We start from the raw sequence: 16895 nt of genomic DNA, 5'->3' as shown, positions 1-16895 counted from the left end.
AGTCTCGCTCTGTCACCCAAGCTGGAGTGCAGTGGCACGATCTCAGCTCACTGCAACCTCTGCCTCCTGGGTTCAAGCAATTCTCCTGTCTAAGCCTCCCGAGTAGCTGGGACTACAGGTGCATGCCACCACGTCAGGCAATTTTTTGTTATTTTTAGTAGAGATGGGGTTTCACCGTGTTGGCCAGGCTGGACTCGAACCCCTGATCTCAAGTGATACACCTGCCTTGGCCTCCCAAAGTGCAAGGACTACCAACGTGAGCCATCACGCCCGGCCCTCATTTTTGAGTTAAGTTCCTTGACACACCAATTAAAAACATTTTAAGGAGTGGCCATTTCCCTGATTTAACTCATTAATTCGACAAATATCTATTGAGCAGCTACTATGTACCAGATACTGTACTAGGCATTGCAGAGTCAACAGTGCACAAAGAGATATGGTCACTGTCTTCACAAGGGTCAGGTGGGAGACACCAACAGCAGCAAATCAAATCAACAAACATCACACAGATGGAGATGAATGCAGTGAAGGAATGTACGTGGCACTACAGGCACACGTGGAAGTGGCTTGAGCTACATCTGATGGGCGAAGGAAGGCTTCCACAAGGAAGTTGTGTTTAAACCAATATCTGAGGGGTGCACAGGCATACCTGAAAAATGCCGATGGGGGAAAGACGGGGGACCGTGTCCCAGGCAGAACAAAAATAGTGCACACCACCGACCTGTGGCGGGCAGGAGCATGAGGCTATGGATAGAAGGCCTGGAAGGTGGCCTGAGTAAGTGGACTCGGCGGGAATGAGTTGCATGGCACCAGGTGAGTCTCAGAGAAGGCGGCAGGGACCAGACCACATAGGGATCAGGTTGTACACTTTATTTCCAGTTAAAGATTTCAGACTTTCCCCTGAGTATAACAGGACAAAAAGAATCAAAAAGTAAAAGAGAGCAAACTGGAACAATGGAATTGTTTTCCAGGGCCCACAACTGTTGGCTTATCAACAGAGGGCCCAGAAGGCCACATTACCCCTATGGTGCACTCTCCCACCACTGACCAAAAGTCTCTGGGCAGATCCTGCTCAGTCACCACTGTGGCCAGCGTCAGCTACAATGATACAGCAAAGTGTCTGCTCAGCCCTTGGGGCTCCTGGACTTCATATCTTCCTCAGAAAGCGGGGATCATGGCCATTCATTCAAAAGAAATAAAAACAATACAAGACACATTCTTCCATATATTTCATGTGCTTTCTATTTTAGACTCATGAGATTTCAGAAAACACACTCAGAACCAGAGTCTCCCAAGCAGCAGAACAGGAGTTCACGATGTGTGTGCATGTGCATGAGTGCATATGTGCGAGTGTGTATGGGGATGGCAGGCAGGCAGACACCTGCTCTAAGCATCAGGCAGGAATACTGCATAGTCACTCCTCTCCTCAGTCTCCTTTGCCAAAAAATCCAGGTCGTTTCTCAACATACAGCAAGTCCAGTCGGCTGTCGTTACTATTCAATTTTCCTTACTTTTCAAGGAGACTTTAAAAATCTAGAGATCTATTTAATTTTTGGAGTTAAGTAGTAAGATCAGGACTTTAGGTTTAAAGTCCAAGTGTACCTTATCCACCCTCTGCGTATTCTATCCTTTCCAAATACCTTCAATCAACTCTAAGAATCAAAGGCGTTCACTTATTGTCTTGAGGAAACCCCTCCTTAAACAGCACCCCTGACAGGTCTCTGTTCCTCAAAGGACGAACAACAGAAAATCAGTTTCACTCTTATAAGTTCTAAAGGACAATAAAGATGGCAACAGAATATGCTTCACTGTTATAAAAATGCAATGGACTCAATGTTTAGATACCCCAAAATTCCTACATTGAAATCCTAACCCCAAAGTTGATGGTATCTGGAGTGGGGTCTTTGGAAGGTGATTAGGTCATGAGGGCTCTGCCCTCATGCATAGGATTTGTGCTCTTATAAAAGAGGCCCAAGTGAGGTCCCTCACCTCTTCTGCCACATGCAGCAGTTATAACAAAAAAACAAAAATAAAAAAGCTGTCTATGACCCAGGAAGTGGGCCCTCTCCAGCCACTGAATCTGCTGGCACCTTAATCTTGGAATTCCCAGCCTCTAGAACTGTGAGAAATATATTTCTGTTGTTTATAAGCCATTTAATCTATGATATTTCATTATAGCAGCCTGAATAGGCTAAGACAAAGGACAGATATGAGAACCAAAGACAATTTTAGCTAATAGGCAAATTAATGTATTCTGAGGCACAAACTATCAAAGCCAAAACATCATGCCATTCATTAAAGGCTTATTTTGGATTCTACAAAGATACCCAAATGTGGGACTAGACACTAATGGCTGAGGTACAGAGGCCTGAAGTCTTAACTAATTTCCTTTTACACATAATCATCAAAATACTGCCAATCGGTTCCATGGGAACAGAAAAAAAGGCTAAGGAAATGTTCACAGCAGCTTTGTTCATAATGGTACAAACTGAAAACAGCTCAAATGTCACTCAGCAGGTATATGGATATGGTACATCCATGTGGGATATTTCTCAGCTATAAGACGGAACAAACTAGAGATACAATAACCTGGATGAATCTTAAATTAATTACACTCAGTGAAAAACTCCAATCTCACAAAGTTATATACTATGTAATTTCATTTATATAACATCAAATAATAAAAGTATAGAGATAGGAAGCAAATTAATGGTTGCCAGGGGAGAGGGAAAGAATGACAGATGTAGTTGTGGCTGTAAAAGAATATGATGGGCCAGGCGCAGTGGCTCACGCCTGTAATCCCAGCACTTTGGGAGGCCGAGGTGGGTGGATCACAAGGTCAGGAGTTCAAGACCAGCCTGACCAATATGGTGAAACCCCGTCTCTACTAAAAATACAAAAATTAGCCGGGCATGGTGGCACGCGCCTATAGTTCCAGCTACTTGGGAGGCTGAGGCAGAAGAACAGCTGGAACCCGGGAGGCAGAGGTTGCAGTGAGCTGAGATCACGCCACCGCACTCAAGGCAGGGTGACAGAGTGAGACTCGGTCTCAAAAAAAAAAAAAAAAAAAAGAATATGATGAAGGGTCCTTGTGATGGAACTACTCTGCATCTTGACTATGGTGGTAGTCACACCAATCTACCCATGTGATAAAGTTGCATAAAAACCAAAAGTGCATATACATATACACATACACACAGAAAAGGGAATACATATAAAACTGGTGAAATCTGAGTAAGGTTGGTGGATTGGTCCAATGTCAATCTCCTGGTTGGGGCAATACATTTTAGTTATGTAAGGTACTACCATTAGGGGAAAACAGATGAAGCATATGTGGGATCTGTCTGTATTATTTCTTACAACTGCATGGAAATTCTCTCAAAATGAACAGGTTTTTAAAAAACTCTTACAATTAATGTGCAAAATACAATCAGGAATTAGATGCTAAATTCCACAAGAACAGAGATTATGGCCTTTTGCTCACCATTATGATGCTAACATGTAGCAGAATGCCTTACACATAGGCAAATTATTTATGGAATGAATGCAAGAATCTTGAAGATATTCTGTAACAGCAGAAAAATTTAAACGACTTATATTCTACCATACAGGAATGGTTAGTATATTAATACTAACTACTCATGGAATATGATTCAGCAATTAAAACTAATGTCTATAAAGACAACTTCAGTACACTGTGTAATATATACAGCTACATACATTGTGATTATAACTAAGAACATAAACATTAATTAACATTTATATTACAAGAAAGTAAATAAAATAATAGTAATTGCATTAGGGGATTGGTGTAATAGATGTTCCTTCCCCCCTCTTTTTCCTATTATTCTTTTAATGCTAAAATATTAGTAATACAACTGGGGGCAAGAATGAGAACTGTGCTTAGATCTTTTCTTTCTAAATACTCTTTACTTTTAATTTTTATTATGAAGTATACTACCAAAAAAAAAATATATGTGTAGGTTATAAAGGATATTAATAATAAAACTCTACACATTTATCCAATTTGAGAACCTGGACATTATAACACCTTCTTTAACTGAAGCAATTCCACTTAAAATGACTAACAGCTACCCATAATGCAGTAAAGAAATCTAATTCCACAGAGGCCTAAATCGTAGTTGTAAAGTAGAACTTCCAAATCCGACCTGCATGAGCCTGGGAAACAGGAGTCAGAGCTGCTGATCCCTCAAAGTCCCTGGCTGGCTGCCTTTGGCCACAAAAGGCCGTTTCTGTTTACCCTCAGGTACCCTACAAACATCATCAGCCCATCAGCTGTGTGCCACAGGAAGGCTGGGAAGCACGGGGTGTACAGAAAACAAGCAAGGAAGAGAAAAGGCACTGAAGCAGAACTGGTGAATCAACAGTGCCTGTTAAATTGGCAAATCCTGAAACACTCAACAAGAACCTTGGCTCCAGAGGGGACAACACAGGTCATAAAACTTCCAGGGCCACTGACCTCATTATGTGACTACAAAGGTTTATCATTTAGTCCAAAATTGTGGATTAAAAATAAATTAAATGCCATGTAGAAGTCCGTAGCTGAATTTTTAAATTCAGCGGTCTAGAAATCTTAACCACCTTTTCCCAAATGCACAGTTCAACATTTTAAGGTCAGGCAAATGTTTTAACGTCATCAGAAAAATCTATGTATGGTGTTACCAATATCCTCTCTTTAGAAAAATCTTTAAATGATAGGACAGTTCAAAGCAGAATGCAAATCTAGGCACATCTGTATTAGAAAACATACAAGGATGCCCTAAAGACTGCTGATTTTCCATAACAAAAACCCTACAACTTTTGTCCGATACATTTTAGTCAGACTTCTAGAGGCAGCTTTATCTAATCTGACAGGTTAAGATAATTTTAATCTCACTCATCTCAGAGCCAACAAACATGATTAGCAGGCATCACTAGCAGCTGTGATCCGGTACACCAGGGTGTGGTAACACAGGTGAGAGACAGGGAGAAAGGAAATGGAACAAGGGGCACATCGCATCTGTTTTGCGAACAAAAGCAAGTATCTCATTCTGAATCATCCTTCCACCCGGCTGCCCAAATGCAAATGCTGTGTAATCACCTTGCAACTACAGACTTGGTACTTTCTAGGTCTTCTGAGCAGGGTCACATACCTGGTAACCATGGATGCATTTATCAGAAACTGGGCCTATTTGTTTCCTAAGACAGAAACAAGAGTTAAGTGGTGTCTTTTTAAATCTGTGCATTTGTTCAATGCTTGTGTACTTTGCGTGCTCTTCCACAGTTTGCTGGCAGCTGGCTTGTCTACTGTGGATAACAGGGCAGTGAGTTAATTCTGGTTTAGACATGAGCCCCAGCATCTCAGCCAAAGGAATGTTCCCCCTATAATAGTGCTCCTCAAACTGTGGCCCGGGTTCCAGCAGCATGGGCATCACCTGGGAGCTTGACAGAAATGCAAACTGTTGAGCCCCACCCCAGACCTACAGAATCAGAAGCCACATCTTAATCCCTAGGGAATTTGTCTGCATATTAAATTTGAGAAGTACTAGAGTCTTTTGAAGAACGACTTCTTTATTATAACAAAGGATAATAACTTTTAAAAATATCATTTCTATAAAAAATGTCTAACATTTTATAAATTTGGTATTCACATAATAGGAAGATTCAGATAGGTTCCAACTCTCAGATACTTCAAAATCCAAAAAGGGACAGATGGACAAAGTAAATAAAGTAAAAGTCCAGGCACGGTGACTCACACCTGTAATCCCAGCACTTTGGGAGGCCGAGGTGGGTGGATCACCTGAGCTCAGGAGTTCAAGACCAGCCTGGCCAACATGGTGAAACCCCATTTCTACTAAAAACACAAAAATTAGCTGCGCATGGTGGCAGGCACCTGTAATCCCAGCTACTCAGGAGGCTGAGGCAGGAGAATCACTTGAACCCAGGAGGCAGAGGTTGCAGTGAGCCGAGATTGCACCATTGCACTCCAGCCTGGGCAACAACAGTGAAACTCCATCTCAAAAAAAAAAAAAAAAAATTATAGTAAAATATGCTTTATATTGTAATTGAGCTAGAGACAAGGACTGACATGAACATGTGACTCACTTCTATCTATCTATCTATTATTTATTTACAGAGACAGAGTCTTGCTCTGTCACCCAGGCTGGAGTGCAGTGGCGTACCTCAGCTCATTGCCTCTGCTTCCAGGGTTCAAGTGATTCTCCCACCTCAGCCTCCCAAGAAGCTGGGACTACAGGCATGTGCCACCACACCCGGCTAATTTTTGCATTTTTAGTAGAGATGGGGTTTAACCATTTTGGCCAGGCTGGTCTGGAACTCCTGACCTCAAGTGATCCACCTGCCTTGGCCTTCCGAAGTGTTGGAATTACAGGTGTGAGCCACTGCGCCTGGACACTTCTTTTTAAAACTAACTTCCTACAAAATGCTTGGTGGATATAATCATTACTGCCTATAGTGAGCATGCTAAGGATTAATAAATTACAGCTTATGAAAGCCCAGCTCTTGGGGATATTTTTATGAGATTTACTGAGGATCATTAGATTAACCCAAGGTGGCTTATGGAAATCCAGGCACTTGGAGCTTGGGCCCCAGCATCACGGCATCTCACTGGCCTCAACCCATTTAAGCCAAGAATAACTGATTTATTTTACTACTTCATGTTATAGCTTTTGTTTTTCACTACTTTGTTAAAAGATTATTAAGTATCAAGCTATTAATTATTACATACTTGCAAGGAAACATTTATTCTTGGCTTAAATGTCAGTTTCTCAGTCTAAGGCAGGTCCTCCTAGTCTGGACTCTTAGTACTCTGAACTTACTAGAATCATGATTACATAACTGTGTATTAGTTGTTAGATGTCTGTAAGGTCTCAGAATATAAACTTTATAGAGGCAGGAATAAAATCTGTATTATTTACCAGTCTATTTTTGCCCCTTCAATTTAGGATTTTGCCCAGATTAGAAATTAAAATTATGTTTGAAATAATGAATGGACCTACTACAGAAATATAGGTGAGAGGAACCCTTCCAAGAATACATCTAGACTCCATAAAACACTGCAAGACGATGAACTGTGCTGCTGATTTTAAACGACAAAGTATTTTTAGGTATTTTGGATCAGAGGGGAGGAACAGTAGCAATAGAGATAGAAGACTTGAGCCTCCATTCCTTCATTTGTAAAATGAGGAATATACCAGCTGCTCTGTCTACTCAGAGAAATTACTTAATTCATCTGTCATAAAGCCAAGGTAATAGGGATCTTCCTCCATCCCGTATTATTCTCAGGATACATACTCAAGAATGCTGCCATATGAGAGAATTGGGAATGGAAAAACCACCCACCACCACCACCCACCCCACCACAACACATAACCCAACCAGAGTTGAGAAGGACCCTGGTTCAGACCTGACTTTGCCTAGCTCAGAGACATCAGGCAAGCTGCTGCCCTGAACTGTACCAATGGCAGGTCCCCAGTGCTAGCTAGATAGCAGGCTCTCAATTAATATTTGTTATATGAATGGATGTATGAATGCCTACCTCACAGGACTGTTGAGAAATAAGTGAAAAAGTAGGTAAAATGACCAGCATACAAGCCTGCATACATATAACACATTAGTCCCTTCCTCCTCCTCTATTTCTCACAGGGTTCATGATCTCTGACAGTTACAAAGCTGGAGACAGGTGGCTAAGTTAAAAAAGTATATTCACGGGTACAGTGACATAACAATAGCTCTTAAAAAAACTTACGTGTGCTCATTAATTTTGCCATTACATGATATGGCTTTTGCTTTTCCTCAAGATACTTATTATCCAAACTATCAATAAAATGACACAAATGCAAGAGAACACAGTCATTTCCAAAACAACTGATAAATTACTAGAACAGGCAGCCTAGTGCTTGGGTGGCTGGGGGAAGTCACCATGGGAAGATAACTGTCCGGGCTGACCTATCAAGTCAGGGAACCAAGTGAAGCACACCAAAATCTCTCAGCTCATTTGGTTTGGACAAGTACCATCTTGAAATATCTCAGTCCTTCATTCTTTTTTTGGGCAGGTCCAACATGAAGCCTAATTAACTACAAAGATTTTAAAATCTAGCTCTGGGGTCAATTTTACACTTTAATACAATGTAGCACCAAATCATTTCTGTTAAACATTATTTTAAAACATTACTGTACTCTGCTTATGGGACTCAATGACCACTTAGAATTTGGAACACACAAATATAGTGACCTCAAAGCGGATCCTGGACTCTACTTAAATAAATCATACCTAATATTCTGCTACTAATTTATTCTCTCCTATGTTTTCTTCTTTCTAGAAATTCAACTACAGACCAAAATTCCAGTACACCAATCAAAAGCTTAGGATATTTACACTGCAGTAATCAAAATGAGTATAAGATGTTTTTTAAGGATATTCCAAATTACAAAATATGAATTCCTCTGACTTAGGTTTTTGAAACTAACACATACAGACAAAATAGACAATTTTTAAGCACTTAACTCTTCAACTATACAAGCACTCTTAAGATATATTAGTCACAGGGGAAAAGAAAATAAACCTCAACTTGCATTCAGGTTGATTTCTTCAGAGTCAAGTTCATCAGCCTCATTTCACCGATGTGGCAGAAGCAAAACTGCTGATTAGAACCTACAATATAATGAGCTCTCTCTTCCCCTCTTAGTGCTAACATGCCCAGAAGCTAACCTTATCTTGTCACATCCTATACAATACTAGTGTAGAACTATTTCACAACAGCTATTGTTCAACTTTTCGGGAAATATGTAATTACAGTGATGAAGTAAGTGCCAAGACAGTTTGAAAATACAACAGTATAGAAGTTTGACTCTTCATTATGGAAAATTAGACACCAGCCATGAATTCGGTTATGTAGTCACCAGTTCTAAAATCTAACATTATAGAATTTTAGGAAGAAAGAGAAGTCCAGGTACCTCGTATGGTTTGCCATATTAGGATTATTCTCTTGGCCAGAGTCACAGAATAGAGAGGTGGAGAGGCTGTGAATAGAGGGCTGGTGATTAGAAGAATGACAGCCACATTCTTTTGCATGAGAAGGGTTGCAAAAGCAGCTGCAAATGCTCAGCCATCAACAGCCTGTGTGGCTTGTCAGTGGACATCAGGCCCCACCAGTTTCTGATGAACACAGGAAAGAGGTTAAAAACATGACCTGCGAGATATTCACACTGAGATACAGTCATCTGTAAAACTGGTCTGAGCTGAAAATTCCGGGACTTAAAACTGACTATGGGGGTGGTGGAGGGAGAAACTATGGTTGTGAGAAAATGTGGGTAACTGTGAAAGGAACACCTGAAAATGTTCATCAGTGCCTACAGCACAACACCTAACCAAAATTATTTTTATATAATTCTTAATTTTTATATTTAAGACTATTTACTTTTACTATATTTATAATTTTTATATAATAACATATTGAAAACCAGAGGCAAAGGTTACTGCCATTAGACAAAGTCATTGTCCATAAAGAAATATTTTATTGCTATCAAGCATAAGTCCAACACATCTTTATGTCACACAGTTCACACATTGATTCAAGTGGATAGTAAACCCCTCCAGAGAGAAGCAGCCTCCCAAGGTATAGAGTGAGCTTTCTTTGCTAAGTAAAGCTTAACACATATTTCAAGTGAACACAACCTTTGATTCGAGAACTGCTAATTCATTCTTCTGCTGAATTTAAACAACATATTGAGAACCATAAGTTCTCAGCTGCATAGATGACTTTTTACCTCTTTCAATTTCTATTAACAGAGAAGATTCAGTCCTTCACCACCAATGAGCCAGTAAATGGAATACCTCAGAGGATGGCCAGCACCTGGAAACCTGCTGCTGAATAATGAAATGTGCTAGAGGCACAGACAGAATCTCACGGTGGTTTCAGATTCTGGCTGAAAAAGCAGGAAGTGCTTCCTAGTCGAGCACTCTGCACGCATCCAAGCTTCTTAACAAAGAATAGGTTAGTTAGTTTCATATTCTCAAATTATAACCTAGATAATTTACCACGGCACACTACTGTTTGGTAATCAAAGTCTTACCTCTCAATAACATCTAATCGTTTTCTAGGTTAGAAATTGGATTCTCTTTACATGATTAAAATCATGTGGATTTCAGGCAGTTGGCAGGCCACAAGATATACTTTAGAATGTGATTCACTTACTAAAGCTGAAAAGAGTTACACCGAATTTCTGGCAGGATTACACTTACTTCCTTCAAATTAGGAGAGGAGGTGAAGAAAGCTACACTCTGACGAGAAGGTTAAGACAAACAGTGGACTTCTGCTAAAAACACTCTCCTCTTTTATGCAAAGGTAACTTTCAGTATAAGCAGTAGAAATAAGGAATACATCTTTTGAACTTAAAGGCTAATACAGCTTTCATTCCTTCTATGAAAGGAAAATAGCAGGAGCTAAAAACATGTCAGTAAAGCGAAGAAGTTTCATTCGGCCTTGACCACGGTGAACATTTAACACATTATTATTTTCTTATTTTAAGGTTGCTTAAAACAAGACTTCACTTCTTGTTAGATGCTGCCATACATTATGGTTCAGATACTCCTGCTCTGTTTTAGAGCATGTAGAGAGCAGAGTTTCGCAACCTCAGCACTACTGACATGCTGGGCTAGGTAATTCTTTGTTGGAAGAAATCGTCTTGTGCATTGTAGGATGTTTAGCATCCTGGACCTCCACTCATCAGATGCCCTTTGCACCCTCCCCCTTCAGTTGTAACAACCAAAAATGTCTCCAGACATTGCCAAATGTCCTTTGGGGGACATAATCACCCTTGTTTTGAGAACTATTAGCTTACAGCATAAACAAGCTAAATAGTGAAATAAAACTGAGACTTAAACTTCCCTATTATTTTCAATTACATTTCATATATAGCCACAATTCCCAAATCCTCAGCCAAATAACTAAAAATAATTCAATTTCTGTGAATAGCAACAATGAAAACCCAATCTCAGCTTTATGTATAATTTGAAATGTTTTAACTTCCAGTATCTTCACCTCAGCAATCTAACAAACTTATAGGTCTAATGTTTTCATTTTTAAAGTTTAATATTTTTTTAACTTTCTAACCAATTAATAAAAATGAATTCTCATATCTGCACCCAGGACTGAATCTTTTGTCAAATGAGAAAGGCTGTTTCTGCTATTTCCAAAAGATCTACTTACTGCAAATCTCAGATCTACTCTTGGAAAGGGGAGAGGAGGAAAGAAGTCCCCGCTGTGTCTCCAGCAGAGCTTGGGCCTCTGGCCCAACCCCATGTGAATAGCACACAGCACTGTGCCCTGCTACAATGTCACATATCTGATAGTGAGGCACTGCTGGGAGGGCTTCTAAGAGAATGTCCTCCTTCTTCTCTATTCTGGGTCTTTATTCAAAAGAACCATCAAAAATAATTTTTCAAAGAACTCCTTCTGCATATTAACTATTGGTTTTGTCCTGTGTGTTTTTGTTTTTAAAAACATGGCTTGTTATTTCAGAAATTGGCCTGAAACGAAAGCACACTTACTAATTCATTTGATCAACTTCTCCAAAAGATGTGAGGCCCTATATCACAGACAGAACCATTATATAAATATAACTATAAATACATTTATATGTTATAGAAAATGGATGCTGACTTTGCCAATGTTCTACTTTTTGGCCCTGCAGATACTACTCTGACAGCCTTATAGAGAATGAGAGTTTGGAAGCAAAGATTATTCACACAAACTTTCTTCTTTTTTATGCCGCCTGAGAGAATGAGACCCAAATTATCAGGCTTATTCCTCAAGTTTCCATAGTGACAATGCTTGATCCTCCTGGAATGGCTGTCAAACTCTCTTGAGCTTACGTTTACTTAGGTTTAAAGACAGATGTTAAAGTTTTTCAGTCTTTTGAATTTTTGAATAATCACAGTACATTTATCATACTCTAGATACAGGAAGACAACTTAAAGACAATCCTATAAAATTGCCTATCATAGTTTAGGTTAATCTTTCACATCTATAGAAAAAGATGCATTTACACACACACACACACACACACACACACAATATTTCCCAGAAGAGCACAACTTAAAATGCTTGCTCCATCTCTTATATCTTCCAGGCAGAATAAACCACAGCAATTATATTCCTGAGAAGAGCAGCCCCTAGAAATTACTATTAACAGCTTATCAGACATGAAGATAGCAAATACATACCATCAAAACTACCTTGCTCAGAAGCAAGATGCAACAGCTGATTGTATGTTTCAACTGAAGGCTGATAAACGAAGACTCCGGAATTGAAGCAGTCAGGCCACCCTGGGTCTGGTGCTGCTGACAATTCTTCTCTGTCAAAAAGATCATCAATATTTGCTAGGACCTGATCAAAGGGGAGAAAGAGCATTACAGAAATGTTTTTGCTGCAGAATACCCTTCTTGAGTTCTTCCTATGTCATCCAACACAAAAGATGGTGACAGCTGTAAGGCAGCCTGGGCCTCCTCTCCTTCATCCCCTGACATATTTCATGACAGTGGTTCTATCTGAACTTTACCGTCAAGTCTTGACAGCATTCCTCAAATGCCTACAGGTCTCCATCACCATATATATATATGTCTTTCTTTTCTACCCTCAAAGCCACACTCACCAGAGTATCTGCATCCATGAATACACATTTTGAATACTGTGTAAGCGACCAGCAGTGGAGCTTTGTCAGCGTGACACCCAACTCTGGCCTCTTCATTAAGGTTAGATGAGCAGAATCGCCACTGTCCAAGACATCTACCATGATGACTTCATCAAAGACTGTCTCTAAAACTTTTCTGTCAAAATAAAATCCAGAATACCACACTTAGCATCTTTTCAGAACAAGTGACCCATCTGCTGTAAGACTGATGCTTTATTACCTTCTCCATCAATTACTAGAACAATGTATTGCTTTGGTAGAATATGTACCCTTAAATCTGTTCTAATTTTACTCCAGGACAAACTGTGTTTATTTGCATGTCCAGTTAACGTCACTAAAGTAGTAAGAACTGCTTATGGTGAGGATGAAATGCTCATCTTAAAACGTTATTATAGAAGACATTTTCTGGGTTTTTGTATTTTATTGTATCACTGAATAGCAGGCAGGTTGTGGAAATAGCTTGCAAAAATGTGTAAGGGCTCTGTTCATCAGGTTGCCATTTTGTAGAATCCAATATAACCAGCATTTATTACATGCTGAGCACGCTGTTTAAGTATAATGAGATTCACGTTGGTTTGTGAGGTACAACACTTCTCTATGCCCCAGATTAACTAAGGCTTTATTTTAGAAAGCTCTTTATGGTGGATCGGTAGGGTAGACTTGGGTAAGACACTAAACTGAGCACGGGTAAAAACGTATCATACTGAAAGTTTATAACATCAGAGATGCAGAACAAAACTGGTATTGTATTCTGTCTCCAAAGCTGTACAAAAATATGGTACAGTTCACACAGTAAACTTGACGTTTTTGAAGAGAAATGGTTAGGAGAATCACTGACCAAAGTCAACTGATGGTGGTTACAGGAAATGCAAGACTAGATCTGGTTTCTTAGACATATCCTAATAGACTACAAATTAGGGCACACACATTAGGAGACAGCCTTTTTGGCATCTTCCTAAATTACCATTTAGGAACAAAGGTATTAGTGTGAAAGATATACGTATGTATACAGAACGTCTACTTTTTAGAGACCCTTGGCCTGTGCTTATACTTTTTGGGAAAAAAATAAAAAGTCACAAAAAGGGCATTTTCAATTTCTTAGAGGGCCAGGAGACCAGAAAAATAAACACATCACAAAGTTACTAGTGTGCCCGGATATTTTTTAAGTTACTACTAGAGACTAGGTAGCTCATTCAGATACTTCGATTTTCTGTTGTTGTTGTTTTTTAAGACAGAGTCTCACTCTGTTGCCCTGGCTGGAGTGCAGTGGCACAATCTCGGCTTACTGCAACCTCTGCCTCCCGGGTTCAAGCGATTCTCCTGCCTCAGCCCCCAACCCCAAGTAGCTGGGATCACAGGCACGCGCCACCATGCCTAGCTAATTTTTGTATTTTTAGTAGAGATGAGGTTTTGTATTTTTAGTAGAGACGGGTTTCGCCATGTTGGCCAGGCTGGTCTGGAACTCTTGACCTCAGGTGATCCAACTGCCTTGGCCTCCCACAGTGCTGAGATTACAGGCATGAGCCATCACACCTGGCCCAAATACTTCAAAACTTAATTCCATCGGATCAAAGTGAACTAACCAATCATGAAGCAGTTTATACCCTTTAGTGTGTTTCCCCTAGTAAAACCTAGTTTGGAAAGCCCTTTGGTAAAGATTCTAGTGTATTATATTGTAAATAAAGATATTTAGCTTACAAATATCAACTGGCAATGGATAAAATAACTACTTTTCTAAGTCACCTGAGAGTTTCCCTAGTTTGCAACATGAAACAATGTAGCCCCTGCTGCATCCTGGGAAAGGAATGTCCATGAATTGTGACTGTGTAAAGGTGTATGTAAGCAGGGAATGCCTGACACACTCCTTCAGATCACCCAGAGGGGATGGAGTGAAGGAAGACGACTCCTTCTTTCCCCTCCTAGTTGGAACCAGAAAGTGTGGGCCAGCATAACACCTTCCAGAAAAGAATTGAGTTGGAATATCTCCCAAAAGCTAGGAGGAGGTTTCAAATACAGCAATCCTGCACTCAGCATCTCTCATTTTTCTCTACCCGGTGCTCAATTCCTGAAAAGAGCATGGCCTCAATGTCCAATGATGTCAGCAACAGGGAGAAGGATGTCAGAGCCCCTTGGATGCTGGGGTGGCAGCGAGGTCCTCACCTCATGGAGTCTGAGACCTGAGGGGTGGCGAGCACGACCAGCCTCCTGGTGGTCCTGTGCTGTTTCAGAGATGATCCCAGGACCAGGGCACCTTTGGCGTAGGCATCGTTTGTGGTTAGTGTCACAAAGGCCTGATCTTAATACAAAGAAAAAAAAAACACTCATTACAGTATCTTATCTGGAGAAAGCCTTTTCCCCAGGAACCCATTCAAACAGTAATTCAGCAAAACCAGTTCCTCTAACATCAACTTTCTCTATGAATCAAGCTGTAGCCCTTTGGGGAGAAAACCCCAAGTGCCCACTTCAAGAATGGTTCAAGATCATAGCAGGCACATATGGCAACCTTCAACAGGTTGATTAAGCTATAGAAATTAAATCCGACACGCTAAATTCTCAGACAAAACAATAGCTTAATACCAAGAGTTTGAACTCCAGGCAACTAACAGATGGTAATGAAGAGATCAAGTAGTACATTTGCTGTTTCTTCTACAAGGTACTGTAGACAGTGTTTTCAGACAAGCACAAAACCAACCGTCAAACTCAATTCAGTCAGTCTGAAAGCAGAGTCCATATTCTTCATTCTGGTGCTTACGTTTATGCCATGCCTCAGGAATGTATGTATGTATGTATTTTTTAAGACAGGGTCTCACTCGGCCACCCAGGCTGGAGTGGAGTGGTGTGATCATAGCTCACTGCAGCCTCGAACTCCAGGCATCTTATACATAACTGTTTCCTCAACGTGGAGCAAAAGCTCCCCTGCCCCAATATCCCTGAAAAATAACATTGAGTCTCTCCTCAAGTATCAGCTCCTCAAAGAGGCTTTCCCTCCTTGATGCTTCTATCTAAATAGTTATCAATCACTGATAAATAGATTTGGAGATCACCCAAGAAGCCCTAAACAACTGCCTGCTTTTCTTTGGAGAAGAAGGTGCAGGTCCATCCTGCACCCTCCCCCTCCCCCCGCCCAAACCAACAGACACGCACCCCAATCTCCAATAATCACTTAGTTGCCAGAAGAGAAGGTAAATACATGGATTTTTCCTCCTGCTGAACAGTCCCCACCCTCCCAAGACCCCTAGCACAGGCTTCAAGATTTCTCCAGTCATTCCCTGGGACAATTCTGGGCCATGTTCCATCTCCAAGAAACATTAGCAAGTTGGTGGGCATCCAAATGCATAGGACACTTCGGATCAAGTTCTGGTAGGAGTCAGTTGCTTAACCAGCGAGTTGGGACATTTTGTCATGAAGTCCTTCTCTTTCTGACCTGGCTTTCCCTCATTCTCCCTTGCCCGTTTTCCAAGGTGGAGGCTGGAAGCAGTAGAAATTCCACCGAGACATGAGAGGAAGTTGTGGGTTGCCTAGTGGGCCAGCGCATCCCTCGGCTGCTGACCTGAGAGCCATCTTCACACATTTTATTAGGCCCTCTCCCACGGCAGGCCAACTACTAAGTTGTAGGAAGACCAGTTCCCCACCCCCGAAGGGCCACCAGCTTCCCAGTCACTCACACTCTAGGAAAGCTCTGAACAGTGGCACCTGTCCCTTGACAGGCCCATCAACATCCGCCTGTACTTGCTTCTATTATCTTCAGCCCATTATAACATGGGTAACATCGCTGTCAATCTGTACCAAAAATACTTAAGCTAGGCAAAATGAATGATCATCTAACTCAAATGAAGTCCAGGTTCCAGGCGATCATGGAGAAAAATGTAATAAGGTGAGCAGGATTCAAGGATTTCTGGAAGCAAGGATATGGATGATTTCCAAGATTAAATAAGGGATAGAACACAGGTTAGAACACCAGACTAGCCAACATTACAAATGACCAAGAAAGACCAATGACAGCTGGGTAGGAGTTTAATCTTCCTAAAGACGGCTGAACTCTGGGTTACACCTGCAATCTTTGTGGCAGTTCAACTGCTGTAATAACCCTGGCTATTAGCCTCAATGACACGGAAGGACCAGCTAACTCGGAGCTTCCCAGTGCTGGGGCTAACTCGTGGAGTGGCCCGGACGCCTCGCAA

The 16895-nt window shown here is 40.8% G+C and overlaps 1 protein-coding gene across 5 annotated transcripts in view, besides 2 other annotated features; it reads right to left on the bottom strand.

The window, feature by feature from the left end:
- GYG1 (glycogenin 1) overlaps nucleotides 1-16895 on the bottom strand; it is a 40236-nt gene that overhangs the window by 22624 nt on the left and 717 nt on the right. For 3 of the 5 annotated variants that reach the window (NM_004130.4, NM_001184720.2, NM_001184721.2), the window contains exons 2-4: nucleotides 14875-15010; nucleotides 12676-12850; nucleotides 12248-12410 (exon numbers count right to left, since the gene is read on the bottom strand). In NM_004130.4, coding sequence (NP_004121.2) covers nucleotides 12248-12410; nucleotides 12676-12850; nucleotides 14875-15010 — 474 coding nt within the window. Of the gene's footprint in view, nucleotides 1-5153; nucleotides 5200-7558; nucleotides 8506-12247; nucleotides 12411-12675; nucleotides 12851-14874; nucleotides 15011-16895 lie in introns of those variants that run through there. The other 2 variants (XM_017006275.2, XM_017006276.2) reach the window with 2 other exon arrangements.
- Nucleotides 244-744: an enhancer, noted in NCBI's record as "H3K27ac hESC enhancer chr3:148726195-148726695 (GRCh37/hg19 assembly coordinates)". NCBI's record gives its function as "activates a minimal SCP1, AML or CMV promoter by ChIP-STARR-seq in primed H9 embryonic stem cells {active_cell/tissue: H9 hESC(primed)}" and the evidence as "EXISTENCE:reporter gene assay evidence [ECO:0000049][PMID:30033119]".
- Nucleotides 16596-16890: a silencer, noted in NCBI's record as "tiled region #13788; HepG2 Repressive non-DNase unmatched - State 1:Tss, and K562 Repressive DNase unmatched - State 2:TssF". NCBI's record gives its function as "represses a minimal TATA promoter and a strong SV40 promoter by Sharpr-MPRA in HepG2 and K562 cells {active_cell/tissue: HepG2 | K562}" and the evidence as "EXISTENCE:reporter gene assay evidence [ECO:0000049][PMID:27701403]".

Source organism: Homo sapiens, chromosome 3 (assembly GCF_000001405.40).
Source record: "Homo sapiens chromosome 3, GRCh38.p14 Primary Assembly".
In the NCBI taxonomy this organism is placed as follows: Eukaryota; Metazoa; Chordata; class Mammalia; order Primates; family Hominidae; genus Homo; species Homo sapiens.
Note: the sequence above shows the minus strand (reverse complement) of the source record. Positions and strands in the feature narration are given on the sequence as shown.